This window comes from Homo sapiens, chromosome 19 (assembly GCF_000001405.40).
Source record: "Homo sapiens chromosome 19, GRCh38.p14 Primary Assembly".
Lineage (NCBI taxonomy): Eukaryota > Metazoa > Chordata > Mammalia > Primates > Hominidae > Homo > Homo sapiens.
Window position 1 is genome coordinate 32,004,502 of NC_000019.10, and position 21,343 is coordinate 32,025,844.

A 21,343-nucleotide genomic window follows, 5' to 3' on the forward strand; every position below is an offset into this window, starting at 1 on the left:
GTGATCTATTTTTTTAAATAAACCTATATGTAGGTATGTATTTATCTATATGTAAAGGAAACAATAGGATGATTTTGTTGTCGTTGCTGTTACTGTTTTGAGACGGAGTCTTGCTGTGTCACCCAGGCTGCAGTGCAATGGTATGATCTCTGCTCACTGCAACCTCTGCCTCCCAGGCTCAAGCAATTCTCATGCCTCAGCCTCCCAAGTAGCTGGGATTACAAGTGCCTGACACCATGCCCAGCTAATTTTTGCATTTTTAGTAAAGACGGGGTTTCACCATGTTGGCCAGGCTGGTCTCGAACTCCTGACCTCAAATGATCCGCCTGCCTCAGCCTCCCAAAGTGCTGGGATTACAGGCATGAGCCACCGCGCCTGGCCAGGATGATGTATTTCAAAATGTTCAGTGACCATCTCTGAGTGCTGAGGTTACAGATTATTTTCATTTTATAATTTTCTTTACGCATGTTCTAAATTTTTCTCAGTGAGCATGTATTAGTTATGAATATGGAAAAAAGATTGTTCTTTTTTCATGATAAGCCAAGAATCATAGAATGTCATCAGCACAGGGAAGCTGTGGGGAGTTGAAGGTGGAGAGAGAGTGGATATTTTCTCCTGTCCCCCCTCATCTACCACCCATTTGCCCTAAATGTCAGTAAGGAAGATTTTTTTTAAACAGAAAATAGATCAAGACCTAAACTGTCTGGCAGCAGAGAGACGATTCTTTGTCCAAATCAATGCTCAGGCAAATGGTAAACAGGAAAATCTCTGACAGAGCCATCATTAAAGCCAATCTGGAGGAAGGTGAAGATTTCCAAATACAAAATATGGCAGCTAAGAGTCAATAACAAAGATGGTGTGGAGGCACCTCATTTCAGAGAAATAAAATCTCCAGGTATTTCTTTGTCTTGTTGCTTTTTTGCCATTGACCAGATTTTTTTTTATTTTAACTCTCTGTAACTATGAACACCAGGATGTGAATGAGGACTGCGCTTGAAGCCACCTAAAAGGTAGAAGAACACATCTAAAGCCCCCAGCAAATGAGCACACCTCGCAGGTGTGGATAATGGCAGCTTTGCACACCCACCTGACCCTGTCTTGCGGGGTTAATAAAGGCCATCACTTAATTCCTTCACAAAGCCACAGTGCTCCGTAGAGGGGAGCCTTGGTAATTATTACACCCATAAGGTGAGTCAAGATTACAGTTTATGTGCAGCTAATAACCACCTATCAGCAATTTTCTCACTCTCTCTTTCTCAGTCTCTTTCCTGATGAGCTACTCACCTGTGTCCTGGGAGTCACTGAAAACAGAAGCCAGGAGTAGGAGAGAAGAGCAGGAGGGATGGGGGGGCCTGTGAGTCTCTCCCAGTATCAGATTCATCCCAGAGAAGGCTGAGCCCCGGCAAGATGATCTGAAAAACTACAGGGCTCCCTGGTGCCCTCTGCAATAGTGCATAACTTAAAACCATAATAGTAGGCCAGGCGTGGTGGCTCACGCCTGTAATCCCAACACTTTGGGAGGCCAAGGTGGGCGGATCACTTGAGGTCAGGAGTTCCAGACCAGCCTGGCCAACATGGTGAAACCCATCTCTACTAAAAACAAAAAAATTAGCCAGGCGTGGTGGTGCATGCCTTTGATTCCAACTACTCAGGAGGCTGAGGCAGGAGAATCGGTTGAACCCAGGAGGCGGAGGTTGCAGTGAGTCAAGATTGTACCACTGCTCTCCAGCCTGGGCAATAGAGTGAGACCCTGTCTCAAAAAAAAAAAAAAAAAAAAAAAAAAAACCCTAAAATATGAATAGTAAACCTAAATGAAGTTCAAGAAAGTCCAAAATGTCTTGATTTATGCCCACGATGGCCACTCAGATTTGTTTTTTTTTTCCTACGGTGCCCTGCTTTGCAGTGTCTTAGGCCCACTGCCCATTACTGACCCTGGGATGGTTTGATCTCCCACTACCTCTTTGGGATAACCTTTAGGTTGTGCTTTTGATCAAAATGCAATGATCATGCCCAAAACTCATCGTAAATTTCAGGCCAATTCCCAAAACATCCTGGGTAGGGGAGCCCAGGCACCCACAGCCATGACCTTGTATCCCCAGAGTGTTCCCATTTCAAGCACACTCAAGCAGGTGAATTCTCCTGATGGAAGAATTCAAAGGACAGAAATCAATTTTTTTTTGGCTGTTACTGTTTTCTCTTTGTTCTACACTTAGACCCCATACTTTTTGTTAAAAATGGAAAAGAGTTTTGGACCACTGGGCTTTCTCCAGAGTAAATATTAGACTAGATGGTTATGAAGCTCATTTGGTCAGAATATATGACTCTTAAAGAAAAAGGGGATCAGGACTCAGGGACAGCTGAGCCATCTGCAGAGGGAGAAGGTTCAGGACAATCACCCACCCAGCCATTAATGAGACATCTGACCAAGATCACCACATCAGCAGCCAGCTCTTTCTTACAAAAGCAAAGGCCTGTCAATCTGAGACATAGAGAAGGCCCACCTGCAGCGTATTTCATCGAGTGTAGACACAGCCCTACGTCAGATAGTTATCCTTTTAATTTGACTGCAGTGAAGTGCTCTTGTGGCCCTGACAGTATTCTCTTGTGCACCAAAGGAAGTGAATAATAATTAAAGAGTCCTTTGGACAATATCCTTCTATCTGAGGAATCATATACTCAAATAATTTAATTTGTAAAACCTCTTCACCACCTTACTGCCCGGCTTTCATTTTCTTTTGCATATATTTTCACCACTCAACTAATGATGGATAGAGGGAATTAAGACATGGTTGATTGCATCTCATAAAGGCACTTGGACACATTTAAGATCACTAGCCTCTTTTTCCTTCCCAGCACCTTCTAATGTAATGTGTTCTCTGAACACATGTGTAAGACACACACTGATATTAAAAGCTGTATTCTATACCACCTAATAAAGAGGATGCCACATCAAAAGGCAGAGTTAACATCAAACACGCACAAGAATCATTTAAGAGATTAGAATAAAGGAGCTGGTGGAAGGTTGATGCCACTAAACTACCTTCACTCACTACCTCTATCCACAAGGGCAAAGTTAAACAGCCACAGAAAGATGGCGGGGCCACAGTGCCCACAGCCCATCCAACAGCACATTACACTTTGTCACCATGTGACCCTAGCTATTTCCAAAAGTATGAACAAATATGTGCAATGATGAAAAGTACTCAGTATATTTTGTGTGTCCTCTAGAAACAAAGGAAGAATGCTCCTGTTGGGGACATGTCATCTATTTTTTTCCTAAGTCAAGAATTCAACCTCTGACTTGAGCCAGTTCAACAGAACCTAGAGTAGCTATTTATTCACGTAAAAACTAGCAATTCTGAGGCAGATAAAAACTGGTGACCACGTGCTTGGGTCCTACTGCAGACTTCTGGGGACTAAACCCCGGTTCTGCCATGCCCTTGCTCTGTGACCCTGGGCAAGTTACTGAGCCTCTCCACATCCTACTTTCCTCACTGTGACATGGGGTCTCAATAATGGCCCCTGTGGCCAGGCACAGTGGCTCATGCCTGTAATCCCAACATTTTGGGAGGCCAAGTTCAGGAGTTCAAGACCAGCCTGGCCAACATGACAAAACCCCATCTCTACTAAAAATACAAAAATTAGCCAGGCGTGGTGGTGCACGCCTGTAATTCCTACTCAGGAGGAATGTAATGCCTACTCAGGAGGCTGAGGCAGGAGAATCGCTTGAACCTGGGAGGTGGGGGTTGCAGTGAGCCAAGATCGCACCACTGCACTCCAGCCTGGGCAACAGAGCAAACTTCTGTCTCAAAAAAAATAAAATGAAAAATAATAATGGTCCCTGCTTCCTAAGATTTCTTTTGTGAGGACTGAAGGAGCTAGTTCAGGCAAATCAGCGTATTTGCACTCTTTAAAAGTAAATGATAAACAGATATTAACTATCATCATTAGGGCAAAGAACGAATTCTATGTGAACTTAAAGTATCATTTTCCAAACTCTGTTCCATAGAACAATCAAGATGTTAATATTAATAAATGCTCCAGAGAAGGAAGAAAAATTAACCTGGCCTTGGTCGAATGTGGCGGTGCACACCCGTAGTTCCAGCACTTCGGGAGGCCAAGGCAGGAGGATCACTTGAGCCCGGGAGTTCTAGGCTGAAGTGGACAGTGATTACACCATCACATCCCAGCCCAGGTGACAGAGTGAGACCCTGTCTCAAAAAAACAGAAAGTTTACTGAGTAGATAAGTGACCAGTTAACTGACCCTTAACTAGTCAGTTAAGGAGGGATGTCATGGGTCCTTGGTTGACCTGGTCTTTAGTTCTTTGTAACTTTAACACGTTGAAGAGTTTATGAATATCTCATGGCTGAACTCCACTTGGAAATGATGAGCTAAACACAACTGCAAAATTTCTTTTTATAAGTTTTTTTCTTTCTTTTTTTTTTTTTTTTTAGAGACAGGGTCTCATTCTGTCACCCAGTCTGGAGTATAGTGGTAAAATAGGTTCACTGCAACCTCAAACTCCTGGGCTCAAGCAATCCTGCTGCCGCAGCCTCCCAAGTAGCTGAGAATGCAGGTGCTCACCACTGTGCCTGGCTAATTTTCTTATTTCATTTTTTTTTAGAGACAGAGTCTTGCTATGTTGCCCAGGCTGGTCTCAAACTCCTGGCCTCAAGCAAACCTCCTACCTCAGCCTCCCAAAGCACTGGGATTGTAGGCATGAGCCACCAAGTCCAGCTATTTCTTTTTAAATTATATTGGAAAGCAAAAATAGATGTAGGAAAGCATGCTTCCTGTCTGAGTGATCCTGGTACATTCTCTATGAGCTCCCCAAATGAAAAGTCCAGCACATTCAAGAAGCTTCTAAGGCCTAGACCTCTGTCCAGAGATGTAGCACATGGCCAAAACAGAAGCAGGTCAGGAAGATGTTCAGGATGACACTGATGGCACCTCCAAATTCTGAAGGAACAGTAGGAATGTGCAGGGTTCTGTTTAGATGAAGTAACAGACTGAAAAAAAAAAAGCTTGAGTACAAGGAAAATATCTTTTAAGACTGCTAAAGAGGTCAAGAGAGAAATGAAATGGTGCAAACTTGACATTTGTTTTGATCTCTCAAGGAAAGCATGATTTTGAAGGAAATGGCAGCCAATCATAATAGAAAAAAAAAAACTGTGGATTTTAACTAAGCTCTACCTCCTAAACCAAGTGGTCTCTGGCCTGTTAGGAACTAGGCGGCACAGCAGAAAGTGAGCAGCGAGCAGGCCTGTGAAGCTTCGTCTGCATTTATAGCCTCTCCCCATCACTTGCATGACTGCCTGAGCTCTGCCTCCTGTCAGATCAGCAGTGGAATTGGATTCTCACAGAAGCCAAAATTCTATTGTAAACTGCACATGTGAGGGATCTAGGTTGTGGCTTCTTATGAGAATCTAAGGCCTGATGATCTGTCACTGTCTCCCATCACCCCAAGATGAAACAGGAAAACAAGCTCAGGACTCCCATTGATTCTACATTATGGTGAGTTGTATAATTGCTTAATTACATATTACAATATAATAATAGAAATAAATGAAGTGCAGAGTAAATATAATGCACTTGAATCATCCTGAAACCATCCCCGCTGGTCCGTCGAAAAATTGTCTTTCACAAAAACCGATCCCGGTGCAAAAATAGTTGGGGACCGCTGTCCTAAATGGCATCATCGTGATCACTCCTGAGACTCGGGAGACCTCCCACAAAATCCTAAATGGAAATCCACTTTGGCTCAATGATTGAAATTCATTCCCCAAACCTCAGGGCTTCAACATCAGCCAGATTTTCATGAGAAAATCCTAGAACACTGTCCAGATTATTCGACAGGTGAAAGGAAAGCACTACAACTCGCAAATTCATTGCTTCACTTCTCTGGGAAGCGGTTTCTTACCAAAAATGACCAAACCTGACTTGCCCACTTCATGAGGCTCGGAATGGTTTCTGGCCATGCTGCACCCTGGTTAACACTTTCAGAGAATGAAATCATACCAGTCAAAGTCATCCAGTGGAAATCAGGAATATTCCTAAAGGTAGAACACAGAAGAAGAGTCAGAACAAAAATTCTTATGGCAATAATAACTTCATTTTAATAAGTATATGGATAACATGACTATTTTACAGGGGGTGGGAGCCAGTTCTCATTGGCTGGTTTTAAAACATCAGCCTCTTCACTTCCAAAAACTGCACTGATCCCTAAATGCGATACACCATGCCATCTCCTTAATTTATGTAAAACAGCTTTATTTCTTTTTTCTTTTTAAAATATTTTTTAGAGGCAGGGTCTCATTCTGCCACCTACCCTGGAGTATAGCGGTGCAATAGGCTCACTGTAGCCTCAAACTCCTGGGCCGTAGGGATCCTTCTGCCACTGCCTCCCAAGTAGCTGGGAATACCACTGTGCTGGCTATTTTTTTTATTTTTTATTTTTTTGTAGAGAAAGAGTCTTGTTATGTTGCCCAGACTGGTGTCAAACTCCTGGCCTCAAGTGATCCTCCCATCTCAGCCTCTCAAAGTACTGAGATTGCAGGCATGAGCCACTGAGTCCAGCTATTTCTTTTTAAATTATATTGGAAAATGGGCCAGGTGCGGTGGCTCACGCCTGTAATCCCAGCACTTTGGGAGGCCAAGACAGGCAGACCACCTGAGGTCAGGAGTTCAAGATCAGTCTAGCCAACATGGCAAAATCCCATCTCTACTAAAAATAGAAAAATTAGCCAGATGTGGTGGCTTATGCCTGTGATCCCAGCTACTCGGGAGGCAGAAGCAGGAGAATCACTTGAACCTGGGAGGCAGAGTTTGCAGTAAGCTGAGATCAGGCCACTGCACTCCAGCCTGGCGACAGAGCAAGACCGTGTCTCAAAAAATAAAAATAAATAAAATAAATTATATTGGAAAGCAAAAATAGATGTAGGAGAGCATGCTCCCTGTCTGAGTGATCCTGGTGCATTTTCTATGAGCGTCCCAAACCCAAGTAAGTCAGAGTCAAAGACATACCTGGAATGCACTTCAAAGTGAAGCCCTTTATGCTCCATGAACTAAGACAATTGTTCAACACCAAAGATTTCAATGATGGAAAGGGCAAATCCTCATGAGCGGAAACGGTGACACCCCAACTTCTCCTGCTCCCCGAGACAAAGCCAATATGATTCTAAGGAGGCCTTTTCTTTACAAAGAAATGTGCCTTCCAAAAGGAGGAACCATGTCACCAATTAAGACATTTCCCAAGCATTTGCTAACCTACTTACAGGCATCATTGCTCCCTTGGGCCTGGGGACCCCTCCACCTTCCTGAACGGAGTAGCTGAATAGGTAAATGGGTTATATCAGGCCAGGAAATCAATGTGTATACTGTGTTCTCAGCCACAGATGAGCATGTCGAAGCCATTCTATTATAGCTCTAGGAGCCGTATTGATCCAGCTGTAACTACTCGGAGGTGGCCCGCAATCCAATGAGAACACATCCATCTGTCCATCCAGCCGCCTCTCTCCCCCAGTAGTGCTTAGAGAGTAAGTGTTTGCAGATTGGATTAATTTAATGTTTGCTTAATCAAAACTGACTACCCTGGAACTTAAATGCTATTAATTACTAAGAGAATCCAGAACTAATTCACTAGCACTGTGAGGCCGGGGAGGAACAGCCGCTCTGCAGAGAAAGGGAGTTTCTGTTTGTCTCTCTTTCCAGATGTTCATTTTGTGGCCTTCCCCACTCCCATTACCACTCACCCACCTGCTTTCCCTCACAGCCTTCTAAAAAGAAAAAAAGTACTTGCTACTTTGGTGTTTGCTCTTTGGAGCATGCATGCCGCATGCATGGGAGTCTGCTGGTTGGATACACAGAGCCTCCACCTCAGATGTCCCGGCAGCATGCATTGCGTCACTTGCTTTTCCAGTGCGCTCTGGTGAAATAGCACCCTGTCTTTCATCTACTTCTTGGTGCAAATGGTTCTTTCCCAGAGCCCCGAGAGCTCCCCAAAGATAGGAGCTCCCCAAAGACTTGCTAATCTGTGATGCCCCAGCACCGAGCACTGTGCCTGTTGCATACTGGCATTAGCAAGTGTTTTCTGAACTGAACTGGGGGAGGAGACGATGGCCCCTGCCAAGGGCTCTATGTTTACAAAGCCCTCTGCGGCATTGACACCTCTCCAGGGAGTGTCTCAGAGGCTTCAGTTCAACTGCACCTGCATCCAATCCTCCATCTTCCTTGTCCTTGAAAAGACAGCAGACTGTTCTTAGAACCAGGACCCAATGCCTATCTTGCTTATGAATTAAATGCCATCACAAGAGGAGTGTGAAAGTGCATATCTGCCTCCAAATCTATCCCATGGCTTTGCAAAAGCATAACCAAGGACCACAAAATGCCATGCAGTTCAGCCAGAGGGCTAGCAGGAGCCAGAAGAGGCACTGCTACACCCTGAAACGTGTCTTTAGCCCCAGCAATACCACAGGCTTTTGGTAAAACAACTGCATCTGGGCATCTGCAGTTTGGCCATGAGCACATATCACATCTCATGAACATCTCACTATTTGTGGTGAGTGGTGAGTGGTTCCACTATCCACTATGTGTATTGTACAGAAAAACTCCACTGCTCTCCAAAGGGAATTCCTCTGCTGAGCACCTGGCCCCTGGGGTGGTCACTCCTTAAAGCAGAGGTTCTTCTGCAAGGGCATGGTTCTCAGCCCCCAGCTACCACTCGGGAACTTGCAGCTATTATTACAGGCATTGCAGACTTAAATCCCTACAAGGACACAGCAGGCAGAGTAAATGACCGAAGCTAGTGAGGCATACGTCCCTATGCAGTGGAGAGGAGCAGAGCAAACTGGGGAGCCTGTCCCTCTCCAGGAGGGGCTGCTGTGACTCAGCGCTCACTGCTGTTCCCCTGCAGAACACAGGCTCAGTATGAATAAATCTTCTTACTTCTGCATGACCTCACCCTACAGTAAAATGCTGGCAACGAATTCAATTTTTAAAACATTCACATGTCATTCAAATAAGGTCTATAGTTCAGTTAATAATATTGTACCAATGCCAGTTTCCTGGTTTTGATAATGTGCTATGGTCATGTAAGATGTTACCATTGGGGGAAGGTGGGGAAAGAATACAGGAGAATTCTTGGTGCTATACTTGCAACTTTGTGTGCATCTTAAATTATTTTAAAATGGAAAATTAAACACACACACACACAGTGCAGGCCAAGCTACATAGCTCAACAAGCCATAGGTTTTCTAAGTTTGTTGACATCCCTTGGTCACATCAAAGTGGGCTAGTGCCTCACGGGCAAAATGGGAGAAAGACCCAAAACCCTGACCTGACAGCTTCCACACATGGCCAACCTCAGCTGTTGACCTTTTTATGGAACCAGTGCCCTGGAGGTGACACTGCAGACTTAGCTCACTGAAGTCCTGCCTTTGCCAGATTTCTGAAATCAAATCACCACTGCACCACACAACACCCACTAATTCATATGCATTTTGCACAAATAATTCTTATTTGATGAATAGAGCACCAGACTTACAATTCAGCCGTGGTGTGGTAAATTACACTGGCCAGATTAACTGTACAAAGAACACCTCTCAAAACAATGATTTCACTTCGAGCTAAGGGGGAACAAGTGCCCTTTCTTTCATTTCTAAATTACATTTTCAATCATAAATATTGAAAATTACATTTCTGATCACCGCTGTCACCTTGTGAGTAGTGGCACACGAGCCCCACAGACACACGGGTTTTTACAGAAGGAAAGCGAGAGCCATTAGAACACCCTAACCACTTTGAGTTTTAAAGGGCCTGTTCTCCCAGCCCACAAGATTATAAAACGATGGCACCCTTTGGAGCTTGCAGAGGCAGGGAGAAGCAGTCTCACTGGCACATTGGTTGTTAAACATATGGAATTATTACTCTGGGTGTATTTTACCACTTATTATACATGGGCTGTTCCAAGTATATACAGGTAGGTATGGTGCAGCCATTGCCCCAGAGAGGCAGACAGGAAAACAGATCATACTTCTGCCTGGTAGACCTCTGAAACATGTGAGCTTCTTGCTATGAGCAAAATAATTTTTTTAATGTAAAATAGGGGGTAGCACGCTCATCTTCCTCTCCAGTAATAACAAAAGTCAGGATCGTAAGGACAGCTGGGTGCTGTGGCTGATGCCTGTAATCTCAACACTTCGGGAGGCCGAGGCAAGAGGATTGCTTGAGGCCAGGGGTTCAAGACTAGCCTGGGAAACAGAGGAAGACTCTGTCTCAGAAACAACAACAAAATTAGCCAGACATGGTGGTGTATGCCTATAGTCCCAGCTATTTGGGAAGCTGAGGCAGGAGGATCACTGGAGCATGGGAGTTCGAGGCTACAGTGAGCTGTGATGGTGTCGCTGTACTCCATCCCAGGCAACAGAGTAAGACCCTGTCTCAAAGAAATAATATAATAAAATAAGACCAAAATAATCTTGAAAAAATGAAATAAAAATGAATGCTGCATGTAGAAACTTGGAAAAATAAAATAAAAAAGACAGTAAGGATGGAGAGGCTCTTCAAAGGAAAGATGAATGGAGTGTTAAAATTACTTGGCTGAAGAAATAGCAGGAAAGAGGCAGAGCTGCCCCCGTGGTCCTGGCTGGGAAAAGGGAAGGGTGGAAGAGACTCTGATAGAAACACAAGGCTAGAAGCAGAGTCCGTCTGAAAGACTTAGATGGTGAGCTAGTTTAGCTGCAGGTATTTTGACATTAAGATGAAAATAAAGCGCTTGCCTACAATGAAGAAACCAAACACCCACCTCAACCAATGAATCATATCCTTCAGGACATATACCCCTGGTGCCTTTAGATATAACCAACACTAGGTTCAACTCTTCTCTGGATCCATATACCTGTCAGGCATGTGGAAGGACCATTAATAGACTGTAGCAATCTCTCTACCCACTGGCTCACATCAGGGATGTACTGACCACTCTGCTTATGCTGGACCACACCAAACCCAGGCAACACTAAGCCATGCAAAGTCATACATAGAATCTCCCATATCCTAAAGACGAAGCCCATAATATATTCTTGCAACTCTGCATTCCAGAGTCCCCTTCCCCCACATGTATAGTATGCTTATAGTAGTCCCTTAAGCATAAAGTTGTACAGACCCTAACATGGTAGTATTTGTACATCACCTCCGTGCCTTGCTCTAGCACTCAGAGTTCTAGTACAGGCATCAAGGGTGTCTGCTGCAAGCATGCACCAGAGGGCTAACGCCCCAGGACAGCCCTCCACTCCACCAGTAGCAGATAGGAGTTGATGGATTCATACCCAGCCATTTCCTCCCTTACTTGGAACAACTCAGGATTTTTTTACATTCCCAGAGCTCCCAGCTGCCAGGCAAAGCAATCTGCTCATTCAATGTGTTCTGTATCAGTCTCCTTCCCTTCCCTTCTTCTCTCGGGCTAGATGGGATTAAGGCCTAAAGACCACCTATGTTAGCCAGAGTTCTCCAGAGAAACAGAGTCAATGGGATGTGTATACACACACTGCATAACAACATTTTGGTCAACGATGGACCACATCTACCATGGTGCTCCTATAAGATAAAAATATAGCTGAAAATTTTCTATCGCTCAGTGATGTCTTAGCCATCATGACTGTCAATAACATCTGATATGGTTTGGCTGTGTCCCCATCCAAATCTAGAATTGTAGCTCCCATAATTCCCTGTGTCATCAGAGGGACCCAGTGGGAGGTAATTGAATCATGGGGGCAGGTCTTTCCCGTGCTGTTCTCATGATGGTGAATAAATCCATGAGATCTGATGGTTCCATAAAGGGGATGTTCCCCTGCACATGTTCTCTCTTGCCTGCCACTATGTAAGACATTTCTTTCACCTTCTCCTATGATTGTGAGGCCTCCTCAATCATGTGAAACTGAGTCCATTAAACCTCTTTTTCTTTATAAATTACCCAGTCTCGGATATGTCTTTATCAGTGCGCAAAAACGGGCTAATACAACATCATAGCAGAATGCACTATGTTTAAATTTGTTTAGATAACACAAGTACTTATCACTGCATTACAGTTGCCTGTAGTATTCAGTACAGTAATATGCTCACAGATTTGTAGCCTGAGAGAAATAGGCTACACCGTATAGTCTAGGCGTGTAGTAGGCCATACCATGTAGGTTTGTGTATGTACGCTATGAGGTTCACACAATGACATAATCACCTAAGGATGCATTTCTCAGAAAGTATCCCCATGGTTAAGCAATGCATGATTGTATATGGAGAGCCAAATTCACTTAAAGGAATTGGTTCACATGATTTTGGAGGCTGGCAAGTCCAAAATCTGCTGGTTAGGCCTGCAGGCTGGAGACCCACCCAAGGAAGGACCAGTGATGCTGTTCCAGTTGGAAGGTTGTCTGCTGCAGAATTCTCTCTTGCTCAGGGGAGGTCAGTCTTTTGTTCTATTCAGACTTTCAAATAACTGGATGCCCACTTTATGGAGGGCAATTAGCTTTACTCAAAGTCTACTGATATAAATGTTACTTTCATCCAAAAACATCCATAACAATTTTCACTAAATATTTGGGCACCGTGGCCCAGCCAAGTTGACACATAAAATTAACCATCATACCTCCATTCCCCATCCCCTACCAGTGTGTCCTGCAACCACCACTGAAAGAAACAACTTGCACTCTAATTCTTGTAACAGTGTCTGCTTCTGGGGGAACCTAATTTAAAACGTTGTATTTTTAGTATACTGTGACTTGGAAAATAAATGAAAGCATAGAAATGCTTAGTCCTCTTTCAAAAACCTAGTGACCCATGAAAGCACTTGGCCCACAGTTTGGGAACCACTGCATTGCAGGTGCTGGAGTTTAATGCCTAGAAAGGCCCACGCAATCTCTAAGGCCATGTAAACACAGATGTTTCCAAAGTCGTTGATCATGATTTTGGAAAGACCTCAGCATTCCTAATAGTGACACAGATATTAGGATGGTGCTGTCAAAGAAGTCCCTCTCTATTCCATTGCATGCCCGACCTTCCAGACAGTTAGCAACGTTCTGAGAGGTTAAAGACTCTTATCTGAAACCCATCACGTCACCAAAGCAGCAACGATTTCATTTAAAAACAACACCTCTATCCAAAGGCTCAGAATCTGTTCACAAAAGAAAACACATCTTTTGACATGCCTAAAAATACATGATTATATCCTTTGTGGCAAGATGAGACCAAGTGACTCATTGAAGTCATAAAGGCTGCAAATTGCAGTATTGTTGTCTTTGAATGAAAATTGCCAGAGGACTTGTGTTTCGTTGTCTCAAGAAACCTAGGCAGTCATTTGCCGCATCAGGAGATCCAAATCATCTGAAGTTGAAGATCATCTCCTCCTTTTTGTATTTCATTAGCCAAGATCAGGTTAATAAAAAGTTTAAAAGTTGACTGCCTTCCCCAGGAGATTTATTTAGACCTCCTCTGAGGGGATGAGCTGGGAATGGCAGCCTACACTCTCATTTCTCCAGAGCTCACTCTGTCTTCTCCCTCTGTGGTCCCTGAAGTCTGCCAATTAAAGACCTCCTCGATGACATTCTGCTGCTGAAGTTATGCACACATAAATCACTGTAATAGGAGAAGATTGTTATGTTAACCTCCACCATGCAACCCTTTTCCTTTTGTGAGAAATGTGAAAAACATTCATTTGTCTGGCACAAAGGAAGCTATTTCCCAACAGATGCCTGGAAGCCTTGCCTGGATGATGCCCCTTCCTGTGGTTACGTAGGTGGTGCCTCCTGCACCAGCAGGCATTACTCAACTCGAAACGCAGAGCAACGAGGCCATAAACCAGGCAGCATTACGTCAGAGACAGGGTGCTCTGAAATAAATGGGGAGCTGGTTCTATCTAGAGGAACATTTTTCCATGTTTAACCAAGCAAAACTGGAGACATTACTGAACACACAGTCTCAAAGGTCAATTCTTAAGGAGACCAGTGCTGGGGAGGGAAGACACAGTTTCTACAGCTATGGAGGAACCCTTGAGGTGGCTGGAGTTTCACTGTTAGAACGAGGGGCTGGTGTGCAGCGACTGTGAATTCTACTTTGATGCGAAAGATTGCATCTTCTGGTTGAGCCCCTGGGAGTGGCAACCATAGCAGCCATGGGGCTGAACCTGGAGGTGGTCACCACTGTGTGCTTCCTCACCTGCACTGCAAATCTTCATGGGTTCAAATTCCCCAGAGATTCAGTTTTCAAAAGAGAGACAGACAGAGAGAGAGAGAGAGAGAGAGAGAATGTTTTATCAACAACAGAATACATATTCATGACGCATTAATGACTTATATCTACATGTTAACTTTAGAAGATAATATTAATTGAAAGACTTGAAAAGGAAAAGTCTGGGCATGAGCTGAGCTGTTTCTCTCTATATTCAGTTGCCCCCAGTTAGCTGACTCAAGGCTGGGGTGCCCCCAGGGGATGGCGAGGGGGGACCTGCTATGCAGATACAGCCCCTCATCCAGAAACTGGCTTGCTTTGGACACCAAAGTGGGGACACCAAACTTGATCAAAGGACTCATTTGCCCACCCCTAAAGACCTGATTTTCAGAGCTGCTATCAAAGGGCAGCCACCTTGCAGGGCAAGCCCACAGCGAAAGAAAGGAAGAAAGAAGGAAAGAAGGAAAGAAAGAAAGAAAGAAAGAAAGAAAGAAAGAAAGAAAGAAAGAAAGAAAGAAAGAAAGAAAGAAAGAAAGAAAGAAAGAAAGAAAGAAAGAAAGAAAGAAAGAAAGAAAGAGAGAGAGAAAGAAAGAAAGAAAGAAAGAAAGAAAGAGAAAGAGAGAAAGAAAGAAAAGAAAGAGAGAAAGAAAGAAAGAAAGAAAGAAAGAAAGAAGGAAAGAAAGAAAAAGAAAGAGAAGAAAGAAAGAGAGAGAAAGAAGGAGAGAAGGAGAGAAGGGGAGAAGGGAAGGAAGGGAAGGAAGGGAAGGGAGGGAAGGAAGGGAAGGAAGAAAGAGAAATGACAGTGGCTCACGCCTATAATTCAAGCACCTTGGGAGGCTGAGGTAGAAGGATTACTTGAGCCCAGGAGTTCCAGACCAGCCTGAGCAACATAGTGAGTCCCTCTCTCTACAAAACAAACAAAAAAATTAGCCGGGTATAGTAGTGCACACCTGTGGTCCCAGGTATTTGAGAAGCTGAGGGGGGAGGATCACTTGAGCCCAGGATTTGGAGGCTGCAATGAGCTATAGTCACGACACTGCACTCCAGCCTGGGAGACAGAGCAAGACCCTGTCTCTTAAAAAAATAATCTAGTTAGAGGGGTTGGTAGGGAGGGAACAGGACACAATTTCTCTTATTACTTATTTCACAATCAAAATGAAATTTCATTCTAGTTCACACTACAGCAATTCACTTGCTGTTGGAATTTTGACATATTCTGTAAAGAGTGTCCAAAAATAACCAGTTGTACCTGATTCTGTTGAACTCTCTGCACCTGTCCATTTTAAATCTCATTTTCTTATTTGCTGTTTTTTCTCCCCCTTCAAACTTACAGGTGTAAGGTGCTTTGTTTTTCTGCTTTTCTTTTTTTTTTTTTTTTTTTTTTTGAGACAGGGTCTCACTCTATCACCCAACCTGGAGTGCATGGCATGATCTCAGCTCACTGTAACCTCCACCTCCTGGGTTCAAGTGATCCTTTTGCCTCAGCCTCCCAAGTACCTGAAATTACAGGTGTGCACCGCCATGCCCAGCTAATTTTTGTATTTTTAGTGGAGATGGGGTTTTATCATGTTGGCCAGGCTGGTCTCGAACTCCTGATCTCAGGTGATCTGCCCACCTCGGCCTCCCAAAGTGCTGGGATTACATGCATAAGCCACCATGCCTGGCCAGATGCTTTTCTCCTTAACCTAGAGTGACCAGCCATCCTGGTTTTCCTGGGACTGAGGACTTTCCCAGGACAGGGGGCTTTCAGTGCTTAAACCAGTCCCTTGCAAGCCATAGAGTTATTTGCCTTCTTTAAGTAAACATGTAAATCTTAGTTTGAGCCTACCAAACCATGATCAATTAAACACAGTATATTAGTCCTTTCTCACACTGCTATAAAGATACTACCTGAGACTGGGTGACATAAACAAAAGAGTTGACTGAAAGTTCTGCATGGCTGGAGAGACCTCAGGAAACTTACAATGATGGTGGAAGGCGAAAGGGAAGCTTGCACGTCTTACAAGGCAGCAGGAAGAGAGAAAGAATGAGAATGAGGAAGTGCCACACTTTAAAACCACCAGCTCTCATGAGAACTCACTCAGTATCATGAGAATAGCATGGGAGAAACCACCCCCATGATCCAATCACCTCCCACCAGGTCCCTCCCTCCACATGTGGGGATTATAATTTGAGATGAGATTTGGGTGGGGACAAAGAACTAAACCATATCACACAGTTTCACGGTTTTGCAGTAGCAGATATACAAGTACATTCACCAGGCTGTGGGAAACTGGCCCTATGGGTTTCTGAGCAGAAGTGAGACCACGTCCATCATTGCTGAGAACGATTTCCACTTCATACTGCAGGAAGAAGACTGAAGGTTTTCAGAGGCTATTGCACAATTCAAAGCATAAAACAATAAGGGGTTAAGTGAGGGGAATGGAAAACAAGGGGCAGGGTAAGCAGACCCTTCTCCACGGAGGTCTTGCAAATTGTTCCAATCCAGTCATTTATACAGTCTTCACCAGTTACCCGCAGGCCCCATCAAAAGCAACATTTCACCTGAGGAGCCAACATGGGGTGCCACCTCCTCCCTGGCACATGTGGCCAGAGCATCATCTCACTGTGGTCCTTTTATTTTGAAGTAAAATATATAGGAACAATTAAAAAGGATGGAACCAATGCATCTCGACATTCTCTTTACAGGCAAAAAGAAAAAAAAAAAAACCAAATTAGGCTTTTGTTACCCTGACAGCACTGAGAATCATCTGGCTTGTGAGCTTTTAAATACTCAGCGTATAATGAACATCTCCAGCCAGATCCAGTGGGCATCACTCGTGGAGACTGGCCACAGGGTACGCCCACATCTCCCTTGCCTTCTTCTAGGCTTTCAAAGGGAGCCTGTGATGCCTACATATGAATTGCACTGAATTGCTCTTGATTAAATCACTGTAATTTTTTTGTTACTCTATGCTTTACATTAATATTAGTTGAATACCCAAGGGTTTTTTTTTTCCACTAATCCCAGGTCCAAATTACACTTTTCTCATCCAGAAGTGTTGGGAAGATGGAAAATAAAAATAACGAGTATGAGGAAGAAGAAGAGAAATCGCTGATACTGAGAGGTTTTGCTAAGCACCTGGCATTTTGCTGAGTGCTTCTCATGTTACGTTGTGCTCTGTGAAACTGCCATTTTCATGGGTCCCATTTTTATACTGTTTGACCCACTACATTGTCTCCTATCATCCTCACAGCAAGTGAACCAATACTGTCATCGCCCTCTTTTTACACGTGGGTACACTGAGGCTGGAGAAGAGTGTGGTCCAAGCATGTGGTTGAGTCCAGCTGTCCCAGCTCTGACTCCAGAGACTGTGCTGCTAGCTGATACCCTTGAGTGCCCTGCCCTGACCCAGTTCCCCAGTCTTTTTTCTTTTCCCTTCTTCCCCAACCTCTACTCTGAGCTGTAGGCTGCTGATGAGAGAGGACAAACAAATAAGATGGACAAGATGGTACCAAATCCAGAGTCATGTGGACAAGGGGACGGCGTGGATTGAGTGGCTGGGGCAGTTGTAACTTCATGCTGCTGGGATTGGAAGCCAGAGCTTATTGAAGGCAAGTGCACGTGGACATTCCCAGCAGAGGAGGGGCAGAGCTCCCAGGGAACCACAAAAGCACCCACGTGGAGGGGCTGAGGATGTGGCCTGGGAAGGATGCCATGTGACCACGTTTCCTCTCTGTTTTCCAGGCCACCGTGGCTGACCACCCAAGCATCCGAGTCAATAAGTCTTTCACTGAGAAAGACCTGATGCCCCGCACAATCTCGCCCCAACTGGGAGGGTTGGCACAGGCTTTGTCTTCTCCTTGCACTTACTAAAGTTTATTTAACAGTTTGGACCTTGCCTGTTGAATCTTGAAAATATCACAACTATGCATATACTGTGTTCTGAAGAGCTTACCCGAACACTATTTATTAGTCACTTTGATCTAATTCATCACATGCAAAAATCTCAAACAAGCACTAAGTGTCCTTTCAAGGGGACGTGTTAACGTAGTTAAAGTATGCCTAAGCCTCTGTTTCCCACGGCTCGGGCAACGGGTGCCATGGGTTCAAAAATGCAATTAAAAGAAGACTGTCAACTTCATCATTGTCAAAACGCCACATCACCCGCTAAAAAAGAGGCGCCCCCTTCGTCAATTTCCCCATCCATGCCAAAGTTTTGGAGAGACCCTTCACTTTATAAATCAACTCACAGCTTAGAACATCCTGGCAGCCCCTTCAAGGAACCGATCGGAATGACAGGGAAAGAGAGGATAACCATCATAGCTTGACTGGATACAGGTGTTTGCGTTTACAGACGAACCACAAACGCCTGGATCTTTGACAGGCGTTGATGCTATCAGTGAATCGCAGCTATTATTGGCTCCGGTCACCAAGGGCTCGGGGGCCTTTCCCTTAGCAACATCTCTGAGGCTGATAACATTTGGCTGAACTTTTCAGATTTTAACCTCCCTTCTGACTTTCTGCAGTCAAACCCGCCTAAACTGATCAGAAGAAGAGACACGCAGTGGGAAGACAAGTAAAATATTATTGACTGGACTGTTTCATGTCTATTAGGAAGAAAGAGCAGAGGGGGGAGGGAGAACCTCACGGTCTGACAGGCGTCAAGATAATCAGGGGAGGAATCGGGGCTGCTCAGTAACCCTCAGTGAGGTTGGAAAGCACTGGCTTACAAGAGGTCATTGTTCTGCGCGGGGAACAAACAGGGCGCCAGGCAAACAAGGGCGCAATTGCATTCCTCTACGGGACCCCGTTCCTTGTCAGCAGGCCCTGCTCCTGCAGCAAAGCATAGGATGGGAAACAAAAACAGGAAGTCGCGTGGCTCAAGGAAGAGGCAGGGGCTCCGCATCCTCATCCAACGGCTTTGGTTTCTGGAAGCAGCAGGATGTGCTGACCCTATATGCACCCTGGTGCGTGGGGCCTTTGTGCTGGGCAGAGGTGGGACCCAGAGGGACAGGCGATGCTGCTCTGGAAGGATTTGGCTTTGGCAATTGGTATTTTCTTGTGTGTGTGTGTGTGTGTGTGTGTGTGTGTGTGATTTATTTTTAAATTTTAGATTCAGGGGATGCCTGTGCCTGTTTATTACACGAGTATATTGCATACTGGTGAGAATTGGGCTTCTAGTGTATCCATTACCCGAACAGTGAACATTATCCCTGATGGGAAATTTTTCAACAACTGCCTCACTCGCACTCTACTCCCTTTTGAAATCCCCAGTGTCTATTATCTCCATTTTATGTCCGTGTGTTCCCACTGATTAGCTCCCACTTATAAGTGAGAACACACGGTGTTTAGTTCTCTGTTCCTGCATTAATTCACATAGGATAATGGCCTCCAGCAGCATCCATGTTGCTGCAAAAGGCATAACTTCATTCTTTTATATGGCTGTGTAATATTCCATGGTGTGTATGTACCACATTTTCTTTATCCAGTCAACTGTTGATGGGCACTAAGGCTGCTTCCACAACTTTGTTATTGTGAATAGTGCTGTAATGAATATATTATATAATAATATATGTAGTGCTGTAATGAATGCAAGTATACATTATAATGATTAATATATACTTGATGAATAATATAATGATTTCTTTCCTTTGGGTAGATATCCAGTAGTGAGATTGCAGGTTAAATGGTAGTTCTGTTATTTCTTTGAGAAATCTCCATACTGTTTTCCGTAGAGGTGGAACTAATTTACATTCCCAACAACAATATATAAGCATTCCCTTTTGTTCACATCCATGCCAACATCTGTTAGTTTTTGACTTTTTAGTGATAGCCGTTCTGACTGGTGTTGGATGATATCTCATTGAGGCAACTGGTATTTTCAATTTGCATTTCACTTCCCTGCTCCTTGTTCTGCTGTTCCTGACGGACCTCCTTGCTTCTTCAAGTTCACGTCCTCAGCCTCCTGGCTGTGCATGCCCAGGCTCAGGTGTGCATGTTGGGGAGCAGCTAGAAGGGCTCCGCTTCCTCTCAGTGACCTTAAGTCCAGTTGCCAAGACCTCCTGGGACTCCACAAATGGGTTGATGATACAAGACATGCTTCCCCCTGCCCCCAAACCTACTGGAGAGGACAACAAACCCCACTTGCTAACCAGTTTGCAAGACCGAGCTTGCCATCTGAAGCAGAGGTCAAGGTATTCAGCACTGATAAAGAAAGCTGGAACAGTGAGGCCATGCCCTGCCCTGCCTCTCCTTTCCTCCCTGGACCACTTTCATTTTTACTCGCCCCTTGGTTCTGTCAGGTAAAACCAACCACAGACACTGCTCAAGGAGGTCCCAGAAAACCTATGGAACATTCCCCACCATCCTTTGGGTACAATTCGCCTTGGAGCCATCTCTCTTTGAGGACTGGGCTTATTTCCCCCAAACATGTTTCCACTCTGTATTCCAGCAGCCCTGATCTGTGCAAATGGTTTGCTCACGGCCATCCAAGAAGCACCATCCTTTTGTTAGGGGAAGCACCTGATGCCCATAGAACCGTGTGACTTGTCCACTTGAGCTTCTCACCACTCAGGGTGAGAGGGTGGGGTGGCATTTCAGAAAAACATCAGGAAAGGGAGACTTGGAATCAGAGAATGGCAGTACAGAAAGGAACTAAAACATCACCTTCTCCAATTATTTATGCCACATGTGGGGAAACTGAGGCACAGGGCAAAGAAGAAAGAAACCCTTGGGTTTACACATGGTAAACTCCCCTGCGGCCCGTCCCTGCCTCACCGCATGGCCCGGCTTTGCAGTGCATTCAGGCATGCGGGTCCATCCATGCTCCAGACACGCCCAGGGTAGGCCCCACCTGCAGGGGCACTCGCTGTCTCCCTCACAGCTGACCAGGCTCTACCGCAGACCTTCAGCTGGGCCTAGATCAGAAACCTGGAGCCAAACAAGCTCCCATCTCCGTAACACATGCAGTTGGGGGGCCTGCAATGCTTCCTCCCCACACCCGGCCCCTAAACTTACTCTTATTTCCATCTCTTACTGTGGTCTTGCGTGTCCTCTTTCCTAATTCTTCCCCTGTTAATCACCCTCCCACTCCCTGCCACAGAGCCTTCTAGAACCCTGGTTCTATGACATTATGATGATGATGACA

At 44.7% G+C, this 21,343-nt stretch overlaps 1 long non-coding RNA gene across 20 annotated transcripts in view; it reads right to left on the reverse strand.

The window, feature by feature from the left end:
• Positions 1 to 21,343, reverse strand: part of LINC01837 (long intergenic non-protein coding RNA 1837) — a 234,720-nt gene that overhangs the window by 167,122 nt on the left and 46,255 nt on the right. For 14 of the 20 annotated variants that reach the window (XR_001753924.2, XR_001753921.2, XR_001753916.2 and 11 more), the window contains exons 1-2: positions 21,214 to 21,306; positions 5,923 to 6,055 (exon numbers count right to left, since the gene is read on the reverse strand). This is a non-coding gene — a long non-coding RNA (long intergenic non-protein coding RNA 1837). Of the gene's footprint in view, positions 1 to 5,922; positions 6,056 to 13,532; positions 13,623 to 14,201; positions 14,217 to 21,213; positions 21,307 to 21,343 lie in introns of those variants that run through there. The other 6 variants (XR_007067222.1, XR_007067219.1, XR_007067217.1 and 3 more) reach the window with 2 other exon arrangements.